We start from the raw sequence: 20,979 nt of genomic DNA on the forward strand, positions 1-20,979 counted from the left end.
CTTTCATGACCTGAATATCCCAGTCAGGCAAGCATTTGTTCTACTGTTAAAGACCTGGTGAACTGGTATCTTTAAGTTTTATATGTGGGAAAACGCACATTCCTGGCATGCAGCCTTAATGGAGGTGCACATAAGATACAAAGCCTTGCCTTGGGAAAATGAACTAGAGACTCAACTAGAAAACTTTGTTTCAGACCAGTTAAAAATGTAAAATACAGCTACCATAGAGTTTAATTGTACAGTGGTAGTTTCAGTTTCTGTACCAGGAGACAATTTTTTTGCATTTTCTTGGGATAGGCCCACAGCTACAGCCATATTGGACAGATGTTTTTAACTCTAAATGCAATGTAGAATTACCTATCATTTCTTTGCTATGCAGATTGAATATTCTGCATGAGCATTCAAAAACGCCTGTTTATAGTCTGAACTTCTTATGTCTATTGTTTTCTACTACCAAATGTACTGTCTACAGATGGAAAACTCAGTCTTTGATGGGTGGTGAGGAATTGCTCACAACCATCAGTTACACAGAGAGAGACATACTACACATAATGTTGGGAAGGGTTAGATTACACAGTTATCAAAATATGTACAGGAGCAATCCTCATCTAGAAGTGTTTCAGGGATTCCAAATGATCATACTCAACAGCTGGCCCTATTCGCAAGACTTGGTCAATGGAAAATACTGCTGCTTTTCTCTCCCTTATATTTCCCCACCTTCTCTATTGCCATCTTTGTGAAAGCAGAGTGGCACATTGCCTTATAGTTGCTGCTCCTTATTACCCTCAATTGACAGCAATGAAAGCAGGCAAGGCGATTAAGCAATGTGGCAGCCCATTGTTGAGTTTACCTTTAAAGACAGCCAAGAGAATTTTAGTGAAGAAGGGCCAGAGGTGCTTTACAACTAGAGGGAACTGCCATGGAGTATTAATTTTTAAAAGTTAATGACTTCCTTGCAAGATGGGTACTATCAATTTTGAAATTATTCTGAATTAAAGGTAATCTGATTTTAGAAAAAGAAAAAACAAACATGCAGAATACACTTATGGAGGTGACCAACCTTTTTAGAGTTGCTTGATTTTGCCATAACTTGAACTTTTTACAAAAAAGTGCTGAACAGTATTTTTCAATTCCAAAGATTTGATTTTGTGTTAAGAATTTAATACTAAACCACAAACATGCTTGAGATAACAAGCTGGTGTAAAGCAACTATCTTAAGGCATATGTAAGTCTAGTTTTGGGGTCTGAAAATACCATAAACTCACTGAGCTTGTGCTATAACCAAATATTCTGGGTAATGGTTGGTATATACGTAACCATAGATATACGCATATACAGACACACATATGTATACATATATACACATATACACATTTAAGAATTACTAATTTTTAGCCTATTATTAGACATTAAACATCACAATTTAATCTTTGGTGATGCAGAAAGCACTGTTTGGTATCCTGCAGAACCTTGGAGTCAACTTTCTGGTTATGAATCAGTAAGCTTACTAAATGATGAAATATAGAAGCAGTGTCTGAGGGGAGAATTTCCTCTCCACTGGGCTCAGCTTATAGAATTGGGAGTACTAGAACTACAGCTGGAAGAGGTAGTAAGTACTGATTTTTTTTTGATTGCATCCATAAGAAGTACATGCAATACAAAAAATTTAAGCTCTATTAGGCAACCGCAATACCCCGAAATAAAAGGTCTAGAGATTAGGCCCAAAGCGTACAGTAGACAAAATGTTTCATAGGGTCCAAATTGAGAGGGACCTTAGCCATGAGATAGCAGAGTCAGATGTGTTCATCAGCATTCCTACTCGGCACTGCTGTTCATGCATCTCTTAAATTTCTCTTTGTACCTGAATTTGCTTTTATGACCTAACTTTGCCAGATCAGTAAATTGAACTTTATACTTTTGCATTTTAAGAATCTAAATCTTGTTACACAGTTCCCACCCAACTCCCCACCATTTTAGATTATTACATCAGAATGCTAAAAACACTTTTGAAGAAAAAAACTTTATTTTTATTCATGTATGCAAAGACAGTATCAGCAATAGGCAGAAGCATATTTCTAAGTTTAGAATTAATTTTCCATTTTGAAAGGTTCAGGACTTTATCTTTTTTACCCTTACTCTTTTAAATGCTTCACTCCAACAAAGACAAAAATTTATTCCCTTACTTTTCCTTAAGGTCATATTGGAATAATTAGAAGTAGCTCTTTAGAATATAGATATCATTTATAGTAAGCTGGAGATTTAATCACAGAATGATATGTGTCAGAATGTTATAGCACCAAAAAAACTACAGATCATTTTTAAATGGACAAATTCATAGTGCTTTCAATTTCTGAGGTGTAATAAAGCCCTCTTGGGAATTCTAAAGTTAAAAGACTCTCTCCTTCAGATTCAGAATGAAAATTTTAAGGAATTATAGACCCTAGGGGGCACTAGTAATATGGCTCACAGTAACTACATTAAGTTAGAATTTCTACATTTTAGGGAAGAAGTCACTGAAAGAAGGGCCAGAAAGCCGCTTTAAACTCATGTCCATGGCAGATCAAATGGTACTGATACAACTTTTTCCCTTAGAAAGGTATTATATCCCATTGCTACCGTTCCAGGGTTTGGCCCTTGAACTGCTCTGCTCATACAGCTACTTTCATTCTTTATATCACCAGTTCTAGGAGCAAACCTCCTCAAAGACTAGTGACAAAGGCTGGAAACGAAAGACTGTGGTATAGCAAAAGGGCTCTGATGCTCTAGCTGTTTGTCACAATGTAAAATGAAGACACCAGCTAATCTAGAAACAATGCTAACTTTTAACTCTAGCACATTCTTAAGATATACTTATTAAACAACTTTTGTGGTTTAGAAATAACCAAAACTAACTACTTTGACTCTTCTGGACATATTTTACTTTACAAAAGGAAATATAACAGACTAAATCTATTTATAGCAAGTAACTAATATTTCAATGTTTTTATAAAAACAATTCCCTTCAGATACTCTGATTAACCTCTAAGAGACATAAAAAAGTTGCAGCATTCTTTAATACCAATATTTTGCACAATTTGACATACAGCCAAGTTTAGCATTTCAAAGAAAAAAGTTTTTACAAAAAAGAAGAATGGTGACTCATTGAGAAGCTTATGTACCTAGTAAAGTTTAGTTTGTCTTGGATTCTTTAAAAAATTAGGCCCAGAATTTTAGTTATCCTAATTACTACCCTAATCAAATAGGATATATATGTGTGGATTCTAGCTAAAAGATAAAATATTTTGAATAAACATATGACCCACTGATTGGACTGTTCGCTTTGAATCTGTTTTGCTGGGTTTAGATAAGAAGACTTCAATAAAGCTAACTATATATTGAGTTCCACTGATTAAAAATGCAGTTTTAAAAATTTTGCTTTTGTGGTAAATTTCTGGAGAAATCATAAATGCAAAGCTCAATACTGTAAATACTGTACTGTTCACAGGTACTTGTTGGAGAAGTGAAATGTTTGTATTCAGACCAACAAAATTCTGACCTTTCAAAATAGGTTTTTAAAAACATTTTTTTGAAAATCAGTATTTGCTTTTAAACACTTAAAATGCCAATTTTTAAAAAATCCTTGCAGATAAATCTTAGTTTCTTTCAGTCTCAATTATTTTTTTACTTTCAACTATATTTCAACACAGAACCAGTTTCTAAATAAACATCTAATGAAGAACAGTTTAAGATAAAACTAGAGAGTCTAATAATACAACTTATACACAAAGTTTGAGTGTGATTTACCAAAATTCAGAATTTCTATAATAGTGGAAACCTTTTAGCTTAATATTCAAAACCAGCAACTTCCCATGTAACTAGATAAGCCAGGAGGATCAAACAGATTTAAGCATTGCCCGACTTCTTCTAAAGTGATGCACTCTTTTATCCTGGAAAAGACAGAAAGAGTCCTTTTACTTTACTGAAAATTTCTGATTACTACTATAGATCTGAAAGTTGTCAAAAACTTAAACCATTTGTTTTGGGTTTAAACATTATAAATAATGAGAAAAAAGATTATTCTTTTTGAGAAGCATTCTTGAACACTGGGATAACATATATACCAGGATGGCTAGTTTTATTAAACAGTTTAGTTAAAAAAGAAATCAATTAAAAAAAAAGAAATCCCATTAAACTCAGAAATAACAGGACTTAGACTCAATATCATTTTATGTACTTCTTAATTAATGATTTTGCAGTAATGTCCCAAAGACAGCTGGTAGAAAATGTAATTCTAAAAAATACTGTTTTCACTGACTGAACTGCATCTAATAGGAACCACGGCTTGTGAACAGCTCTCCAATCTGAAATTTCATGTTTTTAGGTTAAAAGATGTAAGTTTTGGCATTTAAAGACATATCATTAACCTGTGAAGATGTATTATTCTTTAGAAAGAAAGAGAAAAAATTTAAATACATGCAAAACTTTCTTTTCACTCTATGTTGCCTACAGATGTGCAGAGAGAAAAAAGTGAGAGGCCTTAAAAGGAGAAATGGGACTAAGCAAATGAGTAATAACATAATAGCATTTTATTTTCTACAAAGTTAACTGTGCCCTTTTCCTAGGACCTCAGTTTCACTGTCATATAAATAAAAGTGGCTTCTGGAAGTTACCTAATCTGTCAAAAGAGTGATATCCTATTTAAGTTAAAATCTAGAAAACTGGTCACCAACATGTATCTTCACAGGTCACGCAGGAAACAAGATTATGAAGGGACTACAGAATCAAGACAGTGAAGAGTGGAATTAGCTATGGAAATAGTAAATACATTCAAAAATACCTCATGCATTCAAATTCAATACAACAACATGCAGTCAATCAAAATAGGTCTAGATGTCAGACAACCACAGGATGCCAACTTCTGATTCGTCTCCCAAACAAGCAGAAAACTCTGGGAGTTTAAAGGGAGTCTTTTGTCTAATACCAGGTGAGAACTCAAGTTTCAAAACTCCTTCTGGGCTGGGCATGGTGGCTCACGCCTGTAATCCCAGCACTTTGGGAGGCTGAGGTAGGAGGATCACTTGAGCCCAGGAGTTCAAGACCAGCCAGGGGCAATATAGTAAGATTCTGTCTCTTAAAAAAAAAAAAAAAATCTTTTTAACTAGCCAAGTGTAGCGGTGCATGTCTGTAGTCCTAACTATTTGGGAGGCTGAGGCAGAAGGATCCCTTGCGTCAGGAGTTTGAGGTTGTAGTAAGCTGTGATTGTTACACTGCAATCCAGCCTAGGTGACTAAATGAGGTCACCTCAAAAAAACAAAAAACCACAGAAGACTATCTTCTGCTTTGAAAATCATTTAAGTACTACTGTAGACACCTATGTAATCATCAGAACTTTGGGCAAAGTAAGCTGATATACAATTTCAGTTCCTTCTTTTCTAAATTATACTATCTATGTAGAATGAAGCAACAAGAGAACAAATGTCAACTTTAAGTATGTTTACTCCCTGTTGCGAAGATGTTAAGAACTTAATTCTGCTATACGGCTCTACTCTTCTACATTATACAGGAGATCCATAATAATAACCCCTTAAAAAGGCTTAAGCTTCATCCTATATCCATTCACAGATGAAAAAAAAGCTAGTCTTTCTGTTTTAAGACACAAAGTGATGGTTAAACATTTCCTTTTGAATGTAAAGTGTGTAGCCAGTTTTGACAAATTCTGGCAGTTCCACTGAAGGTTAAATATGACTTAGCAATTCCATTCCCAAGTATATACGCAAGAGAAATAAGAACATATGTCCACGTAATAACTTGTACATGAATGTTCACAGCATTATTTCTAACAGTTAAAAAGAGGAAATAATCCCAATGTCTTTAACAGATGAATGGATAAACAGAATGAATAATAGCCACAAATAAAAAGAAATGAAGTTCTGATACGTGCTAGAATATTGATGAACCTTGAAAATATTATGCTGACTGAAAAAACCGGTCACAAAAGGCCACATTATGTATGATTCCATATACATGAAATGTCCAGGACAGGAAAATCCTTAGAGAAAGTAAGTAAATTAGTGGTTGCCTAGGGCTGCACAGGATGGGGGAAAATAGCAGGTGACTGCTAAGGTAGGGGGGTGATTTTTGGGGTGATTTAAGTATTCTAAAATTGATTGTGGTCATGGTTACACAACTTTGAATATATGAAAAACCAGTGAAATGCAAACTTTAAATAGGTAAATTGTATTACTGGTATCTCAATTATATATTTCAATAAACCTATTATTTAAAAAACACCTTCCCTTTACTAACCGTAATATTTCTCTCCCATTGGACTGACCAAGTTAGTTCTTTTTCCTATTCATAGACTTAGAACTACAGGGACCCAGAAACCTTTAGTCCTGTACCTTCTCATTTTAGACTTGTAAAAACTGGAGTCTTAATAAGATTTATCTATCCAACATGGATAGACGGCGGGATCAGAAATCAGATTTTTCTGGAATTCAACTACCCACATTCTCTTCCACTTTACCAACTCTGTCTGAATCAACCTCCAATTCTTTCTACTCAACATTTTACTGCTTCACTTTACCCCTTTTCTCCCTTCACACTGTTCAGGTATATCTTCTGAGTAAACCATTTCTTTTCTTCTCTATAGTCCAATATGCATGTATTTTTTTTTTTTTTGAGACAAGGTCTCACTCTGTTGCCCAGGCTGGAGTACAGTGGCACAATCATGGCTCAATGCAGACTCAACTTCCCAGGCTCAAGCAATCCTCCTACCTCAGCCTCCCTCTGAAGTAGCTGGGACTACAGGCGTGCACCATCACAACTGGCTAAGTTTTGTATTTTTTGTAGAGATGGGGTTTTGCCATGTTGCCCAGGGTGGTCTCGAACTCCTGAGCTCAAGCAATCCACCCATCTCAGCCCCCAAAAGTGCTGGGATTACAGGCGTGAGCCACTGCACCCAGCCAAGATCTGCTTTCTGTATCTAAAATTTTCTTTTACTATTTGGTCAAGCCAGTCAACTAACTCTTCTCTAGTTAACCCTTTCAATTACAAATTTCTGCTGAAGGATTCTTCCCTAAAGATAACTACATTATGTCAAGGTTCAGCAGCAGAAAATATACTGCCAGGTAAAACCCACTCTGGTTTACTGTGTTATAGTCAAATGCCAACAGTTAATTAAATGCTCTAAGAAATCTCAAAATACATATACCACAAGGAAAACAGATACTTTAAAGCTAACAAGTGTGCTTTTTAATTGTGCGTAACTGTTATATTCATACCTTGAAGTAGTCATCTTGAGTAACAACAGAGTTTCTCAGTCTGTTCTCTGGATTAAACAGACAAGATACCACCGTTTGTATGCTTCGGTCCACAGATTTCTGAAACACAGAAGTTTTCAGTAATGTAAAGACGACTCTTTCACTCACTCTTAGTAAGGGTTTTTTTTTGATAGTTTAATGAATATATTACTTTATTTCTAAAGAAATGCAAAAAATGCTAAAAGAGACTGGGAGTGGTGGCTCACGCCTGTAATCCCAGCACTTTAGGAGGCCAAGGCAGGAGGATTCCTGCCTCCTCCTGAGGTCAGGAATTCAAGACCAGCCTGGCCAATATGGTGAAACCCCATCTCTACTAAAAAAATACAAATATCAGCTGGGCATAGTGGCGGGTGCCTGTAATCTCAGCTACTCAGGAGGCTGAGGCAGGGAGAATTGCTTGAATCCAGGAGGTGGAAATTGCAGTGAGCCAAGATCACACCACTGCACTCCAGCCTGGGCAACACAGCGAGACTCTGTCTTGGGGAAAAAAAAAAAAAAAGAAATTCATAAAAATGTGATTCATAATTCTTACCACGTATCACTCAATATGCAAGTTTTCTGACAAAGATTTTAGAACCTTAGTGATAGAATACTGGTTTAAAAAGCTGAATTTGTTAAATCCCTAAGTGAACTCCAATGTTTCAAGAAAAAATATTCAGGACAAAACCTGAAAATTACACTGTAAGCTATTTTAATATTTATTCGCATTTTAAAATCGAGTATCAAATCAAGGAATTTACACTCCAATGGGACTTCAGTGTTATACATATTACCAACACATCAACTACTTCTACACTCCCGCTCATTTAAGAGAACATATGTGATTCAAGAGTGATAGTATTATTATGGAAATTTGCTCTAATGATAAAAAGAAGAAAGAACCCTGCCTAATTCAATATTTGAATAATTATTACTGACTTCACCACTGTTGGGAACTACTGCCATATATAATGTTACAGAGAGAATGCCGTAAGTAATGTGTTTCACTGTTTAAGTAAATATCAAAATTATAAAAGAAAAGGTACATGTAATTCGTACCAATTCCTCTTTTGAAGAGTAGAATTCTTGAGGAAACCTTCCCATAACATTCTGCCAAATCCTATTAATATAGTATTTATTGAAGTATGGTTTTTAAAAATTAGTGGAACTGGAATATAGGAAAGGACTGCTGAATCAGAAACTTTATGTATACATTGAAAATTTGGGCTATCTGAAATTTCACCAACCTTTACATTAACTGCTGAATATTAGTCAATTATTTAAGATCTATAATTTATGGCTCCTATCTTGCCCAGGGTGGTCTCGAACTCCTGAGCTCAAGCAATCCACCCATCTCAGCCCCAAAAAGTGCTGGGATTACAGGCGTGAGCCACTGCACCCAGCCAAGATCTGCTTTCTGTATCTAAAATTTTCTTTTACTATTTGGTCAAGCCAGTCAACTAACTCTTCTCTAGTTAACCTTTTCAATTACAAATTTCTGCTGAAGGATGATTGCTTCTCAAAAAACCATTATTAAAACTAGAAAAAATAAATATGAAATATATATAAACAAAATTAGATGTTTGCCTTTTGTGGGCCATTTCCAGAGGGTGGAGTAGCTTCATGAACTGAACATTCATTTGGCACAACTTCAGCTCCTGGATCAACTTCATTACAGTGGTAGTTAACAGCTGAATAAGCCTATATTTAAAATAATGAAAGTGTAATTAAACAGATATACAGATATATTTAAAAGCCACTTATTCTTCAAAAAGCTAAGCTGGTATCAAAAGTTTCAATGTAGGTTGTGTTGAAATTCAATTATATTATTTCAAAAACTTTGTTTTAAATGAACAGTTGAAATACAGTAAGGCAGCCTTCTGTTTTAGAATGTCTTTAAGGCATCAACATAATCAGAAGTAGAAGAACTCTAAGAAACTAATGTAGTAAGAGAGTGTTTGAGAATTTTAACACTTATTATATCCTTCAAATTTCCAATCCTGATAAAAGACAGCAGCTTGGGTGTTTTAGACGTAATACTCTTGTTTTATTCCTATTTTTATTTAACAGTAATTAACAGCAAAACATTTCTGTTCCTCTTCAACAGTTTTTTTTATGGCTGGTAAAGCCAGAGGCAGAGTCTAGGCAGATACATGCTAATTCTAAAGCCACATTAATACTACCTTTCCTGAATTATATAGTCTATCAACAAGTAACTGAACACTTATCATTATGTGGACCAGCCATTGCTTAAGCACACAAAAACCTGAGAGAAGAAGGCACTGTTGCTCCCATGGGAGTTTCTAACTGGGTTAAAAAGAAAGTAACAAAATGTAACACATTAATACAAAAAACTATTTAAAAATATAGGCATATATGACATGGAAAACAATCAAGAAATATAGTTAAACAAAAAAAAATACTTTAAAATAACAGGAATTATATGTTTGGCTAATTCACTTTACCGGAGGTACAACATAGCTCCTTTGCTCCCCAACAGGCCACTGTGGTGGCATCTTAAAAAAAAAAAAAAGGAAACCAAAATTATTCAAATATTCCTACAAATTTTCAAAAACACACGAGATACACAATATTGAAGTACTTATCATGCTGGCTCCTTTGTTGTTATAATAAAAGAAACAGAATGAAAAAAAAGTACTTTATGTTTCTAATCCCTGATGTTCTTGTTACTTCCATATATAAAACCTCACCTTTTTCCCAATTTTCTGGAGTTGGCATTGTGGAAATCTCAGAGATATTAGTTCCTTGAATTTATTACCATAGATATGATTATGGGTCACAGATACAGTCATATCTATGTAAAGAGTCTCAAAGAACTACTATCATGAAGCAGTCAGCTAAAATAAAAATACAATTTGAATTCTGTGCTCTAAGAATTGGATAATTTTATTTCACTCTATCTCCCTAAAAAATTGATGAAAGTCCGTCTGGCTGTTTCGGCTATTTGACAGCAAAGATGAAAAAATACATGCTGAAATACAGAAGGGGACACCGAATCTCATAAAACTGTTGTAGAGAAAAGTTATTGCTAAGTATATCCCTGTCAAAATATTATTCCATTACTTCTAAATAATAAAGAGGTCTTAATTCTAGACTAATTTTTTTCTTAAATTTTAGGTACATTTCACTAGTTTAAAATGACAAACCATTCAGACAATTTGTATAAACAAGTTAAAGGCCTCAATAAAATCTGAAAGTAAATCATTTTACTCCCTTTTAAATTACCTGATAATTATATACAGGCAACTGATATCCAGTGATGACCTGAACTGGTGAATTTGGGTAAGTAGGATATGCCTGAAAATCAAGTTTACAGAAAGAATGAATAATATAAAACATTTTTTAAAATTAGAAATATTATTCCCAATATAACAAAAATATGAAAACTTTTAAAATATTTTTCTATATACAACAATGCAGAATTCTAAATGCATGACTGACTTTATGAAGAAAGAAATATTCTCTGTCAAGTGTTACCCTTTGGGTGGGGAGGGGGAACAGACAAATGACAAAAGAAGTGACTATTTCAACAGGCAAAGTTTATCATATTTATACTGTGTACTTATTCCCACCCAGAAGTTATTTTTTATACTGGTGATAAGGCTCTATTCAGACAGACTTCAATGTAAGTTAAATTAATACATTTGCTATTTCTTTGTCAAAATACTTCTAGACAGTTTTGTGTTTGACAATATTATAGGGTAATATGTAGTCCTCCTACAGATGCTATGGCTTTTTCTGTACTTCATTTCGAAGAACTAAGGGCTGTATATAATCCAAAACTGGAAAAGAAACAGTATAATGTCTTATATTTTTCAATAAATAGCTACTGATTGAAAACATATAGGTGGCAGCATACACGAATACACCCAGATGCAGTAATGACTCACAGTAAATGTTAGAAACAAGTAGGGCTTTTTTTTTTCTAGCCATTGTTCAGAGAAGGAGAAAGAAGAGGAGGTACACCCTACACATTTCAAGTACATGGAAAATGTCAATGAATGAAAGACACTGAAGAACTATTTCACTCCTGTTTTGCTACTTTATTTTCCAGCAAAGACAATGTCTTTTAAACTAAATCGTTAAATAAAATGAACTAAGAAGAAAATGTTATTTACCACCAGTAAGTGATAGTATGTCAAATCCTACTTTAAATATCAAAGTAACCAAGATCAGAGAAATTATATGCCAGAAACTCACAGGATTTACATAGTAAAACACATCAGAAATCTACCCATTCCAGAACCAGAATATATCCAGAAGTCAGCAATTTATATGAGGAGGCATCTGGAAATCATTGCAAATAAAGAATAGCTAGATGATTTGCTAACCTTAGAGAAGAATATACTAGACAGACACATAACGATAGCTGCTTTCAAATGCTTTAGGAACTAGTTATATGGGGGGAAAAAGGAAGAGATTTCTTCATGTGTCTACAGAGGTCATTTCTAAGATAAAGACAAAGTATACAGAAGATCTTTAGCTCATATAAAGAACAACACTAAGAATAAGAAATTTCTAACAAAAGTAATAAATTTCCCATCACTCAAAGTATTCAAACAGGGATGCCATTACCACTTACTACAGAAATTGGATGTAATTCCACAGAAGGTACGATGACTACAATAAACAAGAGAATAGGAACGTTAAGCAATTCTTACCTGAACATACTGAGTTATAGGATTCATCGTGGTTGTGGGCTGCATATAAGTTTCAGTGTTTGGATTAGTCCAGACATTCTGAAACTGTGGTGGAGGAGGATGATTAAAAACCAAAGGACGTGGCTGCACATGATAAGCACCTTTTTGAAAAGCAAAAAGAAAAGGCCTATTTTTAGTTCTTTGAAAAGCTACACAATTTCTTTTATGTTTAAAAAGAACAATTTCTTTTTGTACTCACATAAATTTTGTTTCCTGATTGCAGGGCCCAGCTTCAGCTTTTTACCATGGAAATTTATCTGTGACTGAAAATAAAACAGTAACAAAACTAGAATCAATTTTCAAGTCTTTACTTCCAAGACTTGGATGAACACCTAAAGTCTTCTAAAATTCCTATTATCATAGAAGATCAGTGATAACTACACACCAAATTAAAATTTGTCATCATGAAGCTACCTTACCCTTATTTCTCTAATCAGTGTCAAGAGGCATCAAGTGAAAGTTGATCAAAAACTTTTCATTACCCTGCCCTGTCTCCAACCCTTCCTGTCTGTAGTTCATGAACCTAGGTGCCCAGTCAAAAATAAACAGGTTCTAACAAGTTATGTAAGATTCCTCTAAGTTTGGATTTTTTTGACCAGAAAGTGTATCGTCTTCCAAATTTTACACAAGACTGAGTATATCACTTGACACTAAACATTGTATCAATTAAACAAATGAGATTTTTCTATTAGATTACTTACTTCTACTATCTTCTGCACATCCACGTCATTAAAAAATGAAACAAATCCATAGCTATAAAGGCAGATAAATGAAGTATAAAATCACCATCATACAGTACATGGTTCAGAACTTCTACTATATACGGAAGTGATCATGACTAAAATATGAATAATATACTATGCTAAATATTTAAGATGTACATGATAGATCCTCTACAAATACTGCTTTTTCTTCATCTGAACTATGTCAATCAAAATGTGCTAAGATTAGGGTAGTGTGAAAACTTCATTGATTAACAAAGAATTCATATCCATGAACCTGAATTTAACTTACTATCTAAGACAAGGTGGTTAAAATTTAAGATACTGTGCAATGTATGAAGAAAACAGTTCTTTGAGAAAACTGATTAATTCATTTGTATGAAATAAAGATTGAAGATATTCAAAAACAAACATTAGAAAAATGATTAAAAGAGCTGGCAATAAACTTTTATCCTCTACATGAAAGAAATTAACACAGCAACAAATTTATGTTAAGTGTCAGAATACCAATTTTGAAGTCTTCTCTGATACTCTATACGTGGCTAGAGTTCAGATATTTTTGATAAAATTACTCACCCTTTGGACACACCAGTTCGATCAGTGATTATCTTCACTTCTTTCACTGAACCATATCTAGCAAAGAAGCTTCTAATCTCAGTTTCATCCATCTATGGAAAAGAATTGAACTTCAAGAGTAAAAATTCAGCATTCAAAAATTTTAATTTTACTAAAAGAAGGTTCGATGATGTGACAATTTCTCCCCCATTTATCCCCAAATGACCAGTAGCTCTTTGTCAAAGATATTTTTAGTACCTATGGGTCAAATGTAAAACCAATTCTAAACCTCCATGAAGTACAAAAAAACCTTAAGTTTGTAACAGGGCCCAAATCCCATTATTCATAATGCATTTCAAGGTAAAAATGAGGTATGAATACAATACCCTAACATCAATTCCTCCAACAAAAACAGTGTTTGGCATGATTTTGCCTTCTGGTAAAATATAGCCTTGGCTGGTTGCAGCTGATGAGGACTGGGTGCTGGCCTCTCTGGAGATGGTTGAGTTTGGAGTTTCAGGATTTGCAGTAGACTGTAATTTGGAAAGTAGACATCATAATTAGATACACAGGAAAAACCTATACATAATGTGAAATATAATTTTTGTATTTTAAGTATAAAATATTTTATATAAATTACTTTCATTCTAAGTTAGTTCAGGCTCAGGATTTAAACTTATCAGAGTAGATCAGCATGAAATTTTAATGAAAGGATATAGTACTTTTTTTTTTTTTTTGAGAGAGTCTCGCCCTTGTCACCCAGGCTGGAGTGCAATGGCGTGATCTCGGCTCACTGCAACCTCTGTCTCCCAGGTTCAAGCGATTCTCCTGCCTCAGCCTCCTGAGTAGCTGGGATTACATGCGCCCGACACCACGCCCGGCTAATTTTGTATTTTTAGTAGAGATGGGGTTTCTCCATGTTGGCCAGGCTGGTCTCGAACTCCCGACCTCAGGTGATCCACCCGCCTTGGCCTCCCAAAGTGCTGGGATTACAGGCGTGAGCTACCACGCGCAGCCAGGATACAGTACTTTCTTAAACCCAGTATTGCTCATTACCGAGTCTTGCACAATGCTGTGGAAGAATACTTAGTATTTGTGAAAATACTATGTGAATTACTTAAAAAAAAAACAAACCCAAAATTGGAAAGTTCAGATTTGTAAAAATCAAAATTAAAATCATCCTGTTCTATATTCATAAACAACTTTTCATTTTACTGAGTACACTAATAAAAAGGATGACAAATATTAAAAAACTCCAAAAAGCCACATCAAAAAGAAAATAAGCCTCAAAGTTTTAAACCAATTTGTCCTGCTTCGCCTTTTTCACCAAAATTAACATGAATTTTTACAATTTTAACGCTGTGTTAGTATGCCTGCTTTACTTTGGAAATGGATCATGGAAACATTATTTGCTCACATGTCACAGCTCCTTCTAAAAAAAGGATTATAATCCTCTTCCCTAATGCTAGGGTGTTCAAATCATTTTTTGAAATAACATTTTTCTTCCTAACACCAAATCAGTCCCACTGATAATTCTAATTATCACAGTAGGCAGATATAAATTATACCATCTTTATTTTCAGATAAAGAAACACACATATAACTCATTTTTTCTGGATTTTGATCAGAACTGTCTTTATTCTTTCCGCAGTAGACTCTAAGGCTAATGTAAAATTTTCTGAAGTAGAATTTGTAAGTAATATATATGTTGGAGAAGCAATATAGCAGAGTGAAACAAAAATTAATTTAGTCAGGAGATCTAGGTTTATGTCCCTTACAGGTAAGTGGTTACAAGCCACTTACTTGCCAGCCGTGTATCTCTGGGCAAACTGCTTTGAGAAGGAAATGAGATAACATCTGTGAATTCATTTTGTAAAGTATAAAGTGGTATATCAATATAAGTTAGTGTCCTGTTATTTGAATTTATTTTCAGATTTTTTTTCAAGTTTCTTTTTTGGCTTTACTATTTTAGCTGACTTATCTTGAAGATACTTTTAATTAAGAACGAATTGAAACATCAGGAAACTATGAAACATCATTAATTTAAAAATCATTGGTGAAGTGCCTGTTGACTACAAAAGGTAACTACAAAAAGCTGCAAAAGAGAAAGCTATTACACATATACCTGTCTGAAAGAAAACAAGACAAAAGAAAGCAACTGTTATCTTTTTGAAAAGCACAGTAATTTTATAGGAATTAATAAGAAAGTAGAGTTCCTGCTTTGTTAATTAGATGCTAGAAGTTACTGATTCTACACAGCTTTACTAGAGATGAAATCTAAATTGTCAAATCAACTAAAGCTGAGTTTATTGCTTTTCTCTATTCGTTTGTGCTTATACTTGCTATTTTGGGTTTGTAAATAATTCCTAATTCTTTCTTTTAATAGTGGTATTTCATGACAATGATGTGGAAGAAAAATTTAAAAACTATTTCTACAGTTTTTCCTTTCTAAAAATGTCTTACGTTGTTTTTCTAAATGACATTAAGCTGCGTATCTTGAACTATTAGGAACCTGATTAGATTTCCCCCCTACAGACAATTTACCAATCCCTTCTCAGTTCATTCAGAAATCCCAAACAGAATAAAACAAAACAAAATAAATTCTGAAATTCTTGTAGTTTTTTCTCCTTTTCAATTCCCCCTTGATTTGTGGATGAACTTTGGATATGTTTTTCTTTGATAAACAAGCTATATATACAGTATTGTCTCTGCATCACAGTGTTTGGATGTATTTTAATTTAGAAGTGTAACATCTGGCAGAAAACTGTGTCAGATTATAAGAGGTCATGATAATGCATTGATTCTCAACTGGGGAAGATTTTTGAGCCCTGGGGGCATTTAACAACGTTTAGAGATTGCTTGTCACAACTGAGGTGTATTCCTGGCATCTGATGGGCTGAAGGCCAGGAATACTACTGCACATCCTACAATGCAAAGAAAGCTTCCTACAACAAGGAACTATTTGGTCCAAAATTTGAATAGGGTGTGGTTAAGAAACCTTGTGACAGTGCCACAAGAATTGAGGAGGAAAATTATTGTTTGGGAAGAACCTGATTTCCATTGTTCAGTAAAGTAAGTCTTTTCAGGACCTCAGTTTCCTTGCTTGAAAATGAATGGTTGGAAAAGATCTCTGGTGTCTCTTCTAATTCTCATACCCTATACAAGAGTAAAACGGATACTTGGCGACAACAGTAGTTTGGTAAAGAGGAAAAGAGGCATTTGATATTATTAGGAAGTCTGACTTTGGCTTGGATCTTACAAACTGGCTGCCTGCTTAACTGGAATCGTAAATATAAAATTCATAGGATCACTTTAATAGCGTAATAACATCTTAAATTAAGGAGGCACCATCATGTCCTAGTTCTCAGCCAGCAGGTGGCGCTCAAAGCTAACAAAGTAAGCAATGTACTTCATTTTTACCACGGCTTGATTAGCAAGGGTTGTTAAATTCCTACTGTATTTATACATAATTATAATGTATATATAAAAATCCACAATCAATAGACAAACTTTGGTGAAACCGTGGCCAAAAATATAAATGAATGCTTAGGATAAGCAAAAGCTTAATTTTAAAGAAAGTACCATCGTAACTGTCAATAGCATCCTGAAAACAAACTGCATTAAAGAAGTAATTTTCTTAATCATACCTTCAAGTGAGTTGGTGAATTTTGAAATGAGAAATGTTGGAATAGTAAACGGGTGAGCTTCAAGACCATCATATACACAACTCTCATTGTTATTTATAGCAAACATATTCCTTGTTATATTTGGACAACCAAGTGACAAAGACAGCTAAAAGCTGGAAAAAATTATTATGTAACTCCTGGGATGTCAGCTTCTTTCACAGTATTATCTAATTCAATTACTATGTGAACATGAAAGCAAACTGAGATTTATATAAACTGACCAGGAAAAAGGCTATAATTTGTAGTTATCAAAGTTACGTTCACACCAATAGGAAGGAACGAATAAAGAGAATGCTAAAATTAAGAAAATATGACATGAAAATCAGAATCAAAACTTTAAGTAAATCCAAGAGTAGATTCTTGGGGAGTTGGGGGTGGGGAGGATGAAATTCAAGCAATAAACAATCCTGGCAAAACTAAGCAAGAAAAGGCAAGAAAGCAAAAGGATATATGAGACCTGAGAAATGGGTTATGACCACAGATTATAAAACAATGCTATGCATAAACTCTATAGAAATAAATTTGGAAATCAACGACATGACAAACTTGTAGAGAAATTTAAATTTTTACAAAACAATCTTGAGAAAAAACACCTAATGATACCTGGCTCAGTTTCCGTGGGAGTTTTTTCAACTTGTAAAGAAATAGATAACTTGGGTGTATGTTTGTGTCAGAGAGAGGTGCACATACACATCAGACACCAGAAATAAAGACAGAAAACACAGAAGAGGAGATTAAAAAATTCAAACACTTTTCTTCAATTTTCAAAGAGGAAAAAAGTATTTCTCAACGCATTTTACAAAGCTAACAGCATATAAGTAACAAAGCCTCATCAAGATGAGCCATCCCTGCCCTCAACACAAATGCAAAATTCCAGCAGTATATAAAGAATATAGTTTATATTGGAAATGCAAGAATACTTCACAGGATATTGTTACTTTAACTCACCACTGAAAAAGCATTTGACAAAATACAGCATTCATTTTTAAATTATCTAAATATCCAAGTAAAACAGAAATAGAGACATCTTATTTTCTATCAATCTAATTCTACCCTATCATTAAGCTTAAAGTGAAATACTAGAGTCATCTCCATTGAAATTAGGAATAAGGTAAGGGCACCTCCTTATTACTACTATGTATTTTTTTCCACTATGTATGACAAAGGTGAACATTAATACAGTCTTTATGAATCAATACAAATAAAAATAAAAAGGAAGTTTAAAAAGCTAATGATCGATCAACTTCATTGATGATTTTTAAAAGTGCACATCAACATAGTAAAATATTTTCCAGCTATTAGGTTGACAATTCAAAAAATCCTAATACCTTTCATTGGAAAGGGTGTGGAAAAGAGATCACTCTACACACCATCAGTGGGAAAATACTGATACATTCTTTACACCAAGAGTAGCTTGGAAAAGATGTATCATAATTTGATAGGCGAGGATACTCATCACTATACTAATGAGGGGTGTAACTTAAAATTGTTACCAAAGGGGTAAAGCGCTTTCACCCAGCAATTCCACTTACAGCAATTCATCTCAAGGAATTAATAATACAAGCATGCCAAGATATTTACACAAGGATATTCATAGCATTTTTTTTTTTTTGAGACTGAGCCTCCCCTCTTTGTTGCCTAGGCTGGAGTGCAGTGGCATGATCTCAGCTCACTGCAACCTGCCTCACAGGTTCAAGTGATTCTCCTGCCTCAGCCTCCCGAGTAGCTGGGATTACAAGTGCGCACCACCACGCCTGGCAAATTTTTCTGTTTTTAGTAGCGATGGGGTTTCGCCGTATTAGCCAGGCTGGTCTCGAACTCCTGACCTCAAGTGATCCACCCGCCTCAGCCTCCTAAAGAGATTGATTACAGGCGTGAGCCACCGCGCCCAGCCCATGATAGTATTGTTTTAATATTGAAAAAGTATTCATCATAAGCGAATTCGGTAAAATAATGGTATAATTTTTAACATATACTGAAAATTAAAATTATCTTCAGAACAATGCCCACATCAATTGAAAGATGCAAGTTGTAAAATAGTATTATGCAGCACGGTGTAACTCTTGTAAAAGTTGGCCCATCTATATGCAATACATGCATAAAAATAATCTAGAAGGTCATACATGTACCAAAATTTAACGGTTATAAGTGTTGGGATTAAGATGGATTGCTATTTTCTTACAGCGATTGTTTTCAAATGAGTAAATATGATACTTTTATAATCAGAAAAATAATCCAATGAAACAATTCGGATTTAACTCTAAAAATGAAAAGTGTTATAATAAATAATTACTTACAACTCAAGGTGATTACTTTTTATTAGCATGGATAACTATATGTTGCACAATTACACATAATAGGTGTTTATTTTTATTTTAATGTTTATACATGGTAATATAAACTGTGTATAAATTTCCTCCCTGAAGAGACTGAGAATTATCAATGCAGACACACACACAGCATGTAATACGCGCGTTCGTGACTCAGTGGTTGGTCTGCGTGTTCAGAGCTGCATCTTGTGGTGGCGCTGAAGCAACGCTAGGCATTTACCAAACTCACAAAAACGCACACCCAACGCTATCTACCAAATGGACATTTTGTCAAAGGATCCTGGTTTATCGAGAGGGAAAAAACCGTACCCAGAATTTAAAAATTCTAAAATTCTTAATGGTAACTGCTGAAACCAACCTCGTGCGGCAAAGATGGCGTCAGGCGAGCTTTTCTGTCGCCGCCACACGAGGGAGCCGCCATCAGCAAGTCCCCCGCAGCTGACAGGCGCGAGGGGACCAGAGGCACTTCCGGCCCAGCCCCCTCAGCTACAGGGCCATGCCTTCAGGACGCCCCACACCCCACGCTGAGGCCCCCACGAACCCCGCCCACCCCACCAAGTACAGGGACCAGGAGGGAACCACTTCCTAAGGAAGCTCCGGCCCTCGAAGTTTAAGAAGGCAAGTCCCTCAGCAGGCCCGCCGCCATCTTGCGGAGCCACGGGGAGAGCGCGCCAGAAATGAGGCTGGCGGGGCGGAGGCGCGTGGGAGTGGGGGAGGGGCGGAGGCGCGTGAGTGGGGGAGCGCGTGGGAGTGGGGGCGGGGTGGGGCAGTCGGGGGTGGGGAACCCGCACCCCAAACCTCTGCCAGTAGAGAACCCGAACCGGGAAATGGGTGCCTCAAGAAGGCCGTGGCCCTTGCACGTGGCCGGCGAGGCAGCGCGTCCTCGGGGCCCACCCCCACCTTGCCGCCCTTGGCGTCCCGCGCCTGCCTCTCTGTGTAGGCCGCGCCACTGCCAGGCCGCCTCTCCCAACTCTGTGGGCCATGGCTGTGGTGCGTCCAGGCAGGTGCCCCCCAAACAGGAAAGCCGAGGATGACTTCACTTTCCGACCCTGCAGAGCCGAGTTTCACCCACGAGTGAAGACTCCGCCAGCCTTGCCCCTCGGGCCTCTCCCTCAACTCACCATGATGGCGGCAGGCAGCAGTTCCCGACCGGCTCCAGGAGGAGCAGAGGCTGTGCTTGGCGCACCACTTCTGGGGCTGCTGTGAGGTCCGCTGGAACCCGCTGCGCGGCTTCGAGTGGTCAAAGGAGCCAAAGATGAAGAGAAAAGGAAAACCAAGAGCGGGTGACAAGGCTGAGGAGCCCCGAAAGGCGGACCGTCAGGCTGAGGAGCGCAGGCGGACTGAGGCGTGGTCCGCGGGGCTCAGGGAGGTGGCTCCTGCGCCGGGTATCGGGGCGCGTGGTATCGGCCTCAGCCAATGGGTGGCAGCGCCCCGCCCCCTGCGTGGGGGGGCTGCGGGGGACGACGGCGCCCACGCGGCGGGGGCGTAGGGTACGCAGCGCGTGTGCGCAGGTCCGGTGCCTCAGTCCCAGGAAGGCGCCGCGCTCACATAGACCCACAGACACACACATCACCCCCAAAACACCCCTAAAATAAGTATGCATACTGAAATGTATGGTATAGTTTACAAAAATGATAATCTAATGTGTCTAGGCTGCAGTTTCCAAATGGCTTCTCTAAGGCACA

The 20,979-nt window shown here is 36.3% G+C and overlaps 1 protein-coding gene across 2 annotated transcripts; it reads right to left on the reverse strand.

Moving 5' to 3' along the window:
* On the reverse strand, positions 2,005 to 20,636 carry DAZL (deleted in azoospermia like). Of its 2 annotated transcripts, none has more exons than NM_001351.4 (11): positions 20,416 to 20,636; positions 13,665 to 13,811; positions 13,300 to 13,391; positions 12,703 to 12,754; positions 12,201 to 12,264; positions 11,963 to 12,102; positions 10,527 to 10,598; positions 9,746 to 9,796; positions 8,868 to 8,981; positions 7,263 to 7,361; positions 2,005 to 3,926 (listed from the first exon to the last, which is right to left on the reverse strand). In NM_001351.4, exons 1-11 carry the CDS (start codon positions 20,416 to 20,418, stop codon positions 3,873 to 3,875), a joined length of 888 nt encoding a protein of 295 aa, NP_001342.2. In that variant the 5' UTR covers positions 20,419 to 20,636; the 3' UTR covers positions 2,005 to 3,872. The 2 variants fall into 2 exon arrangements, with proteins under 2 accessions (NP_001342.2, NP_001177740.1); NM_001190811.2 differs by lacking the exon at positions 20,416 to 20,636 and adding an exon at positions 19,653 to 20,003.

Source organism: Homo sapiens, chromosome 3, assembly GCF_000001405.40.
Source record: "Homo sapiens chromosome 3, GRCh38.p14 Primary Assembly".
Taxonomy (NCBI): Eukaryota; Metazoa; Chordata; class Mammalia; order Primates; family Hominidae; genus Homo; species Homo sapiens.

Bases quoted from the DNA above. Each gene is read 5' to 3' on its own strand.
- DAZL (NM_001190811.2), bottom strand. From the start codon at position 19,715: ATGGCGGCTCCCTCGTGTGGCGGCGACAGAAAAGCTCGCCTGACGCCA. The intron at 13,392-13,664 runs GTATTGTATTCA...TCTTTTCCATAG, and splicing joins TTGGAGGAATTGATGTTAGG to ATGGATGAAACTGAGATTAG. The intron at 12,265-12,702 runs GTAAGTAATCTA...TTTTATTTTCAG, and splicing joins ATGTGCAGAAGATAGTAGAA to TCACAGATAAATTTCCATGG.